The sequence below is a fragment of the Homo sapiens genome, chromosome 12, assembly GCF_000001405.40.
Source record: "Homo sapiens chromosome 12, GRCh38.p14 Primary Assembly".
Taxonomy (NCBI): Eukaryota; Metazoa; Chordata; class Mammalia; order Primates; family Hominidae; genus Homo; species Homo sapiens.
In genome coordinates, this window is record NC_000012.12 from 30751316 (window position 1) to 30753343 (window position 2028).

General features: G+C 39.1%; 1 protein-coding gene across 97 annotated transcripts in view; it reads right to left on the minus strand.

Moving 5' to 3' along the window:
- Positions 1-2028, minus strand: part of CAPRIN2 (caprin family member 2) — a 45399-nt gene that overhangs the window by 41763 nt on the left and 1608 nt on the right. The gene's annotated exons all lie outside the window — the stretch shown is intronic.

Here is a 2028-nt window from a genome sequence, read left to right on the forward strand (position 1 = left end):
ACACAGAATCACATGAGTCTGGAATTACAAAACCTAAGCAGTAATAAAACTATTTTCTCTTAATGACTCTATTAATAACTAGACTACTTAACCCATGGGGACTTACCTACTAAATCATGTGTCCCCAACACAGTAGCTTCTCAACAGGGAACAATTTTGTCCCCCAAAGATACCTGGCAATATCTAGGGATATTTTTGGTTATCACAACTTGGGAGGGGGAAGGGAGGTGAAGAGTGCTACCGGTATCTTGTGGTTAGAGGCCAGGGATGCTGCCAAACATCTTAAAATGCACAGGACAGCCCTTTACAACGAAGAATTATCCTGTACAAAATGTCAGTGGTGTAGAGGTTACGAAGTCCTACTCTAATCTCATGCTTAAACTATTAGTTCAGTTACCTGTTGAATTATGTGGCATTTTCCTAAAAAGAAACTCCTATTGGAAGTACAGAAACACCAAGAATTCTTTTCTATCATTATCATAGAGTAGGCTCATCTTGAAGTTATTTTTCATATTATATTTGATACTTAAGGAAATTATGAAAAATAAATTGCATTTGTTGGCCCCATAATAATGACATAAACCCACTATGGTATTTTTTTTTTTTTTTTTTTTTTTTTTTGAGACAGAATTTCACTCCGTTGCCCAGGCTGGAGTGCAGTGTCGCGATCTCGGCACACTGCAACCTCCACCTCCTGGGTTCAAGCGATTCTCCTGCCTCAGCCTCCTGAGTAGGTGGGATTACAGGCACCCCCCACCACGCCTGGCTAATTCTTTTTGTATTTTTAGTAGAGACGGGGTTTCATCATGTTGGCCAGGCTAGTCTCAAACTCCTGACCTCAGGTGATCTACCTGCCTTGTCCTCCCAAAGCGCAGGGATTACAGGTGTGAGCCACTGCACCCGGACCCACTATGGTACTCTAAAAGCATTCTTTAGGTTCCTCCTGTATTGGCTTTAGTGGAAAAATTCTTTCCCAGAAGGTTGAAACAAAAGTACTCGTACTATCTGGTATTCAAAATTAAAGAGGTACTATAGGTAAGCTAGAGAGCATAAGCATACATATATGTAGTTCCTCCACCTGAGGGAGGCTCCGTCAATAGATCCTGCTTTGATCATTTATCACAGTGATGGGGAATTTGTGCTGACCTGGCACACTCACCTTACCACACTTGTGATCAACTGCATACGTTAAAAAGATAAATGGTGAGAGCTACAGAGAAGCTACTAGCAACTTGCCCTTCTTTACTTTCTTAGGTTAAAAAAAAAAAAAAAAAAGAGTCAACCAGACTCTAAAGAGTCTCTTCACACTCCTCCATTAAAAGCAACTTTAAGGTCTAACTAGGTCTTGGCACAAAAGTACTTAACAACACATAGGTCCAGATAGTCACTCAACCTCACCTGTCCAAAAGCAGAAGAGAAACGTAATACAGCAAAGCAACGTGCAGTCTGTTTCACAGGCTACATGACTCAGGAAATGAAGAAGGATTTAGATCTTTACAACAGCATTTTCTGTAGCTAGGCTTAACTCCTGGGTCTCTTTACAAGGCTGACTACCACGCTTTCACCTAGCAATCTTAAATCTTCACCTAACACCACAAAAGTAAGTGGTAAAACATTTTCTAGTTCTACTACGGTTAAACCTTCCAACGACTGCAGCAGTTATACTGCAATATCAACTGCTGCAGAAAGTCACAAGGAAAACAAGCTAAAAAATCAGCTATTAACACATCTATGAAAAGAAACATTAATACTACATAAGGAATTAATCTCACCTAAAATAGCTAGCTCTTAAAGTATTTCAACAGCAGCATGCATAATGTAACTATGAAGAATATTTTTATTCCGTTGTTTTGACAAATGAAACAGAAAATGTTTAATATTTCCAACACGTAACCTGCTTGTTTAAAGCAGCTAAACCTAAGGTTAGTTAAATTTTTAGTAGAGAACACCTATGAGCTCTGAAAGAAAAATGTCAGCTCCTTAATCTTTAAGATCATGCATCTACAGGACTGGAAGAAAAAAAGTTAC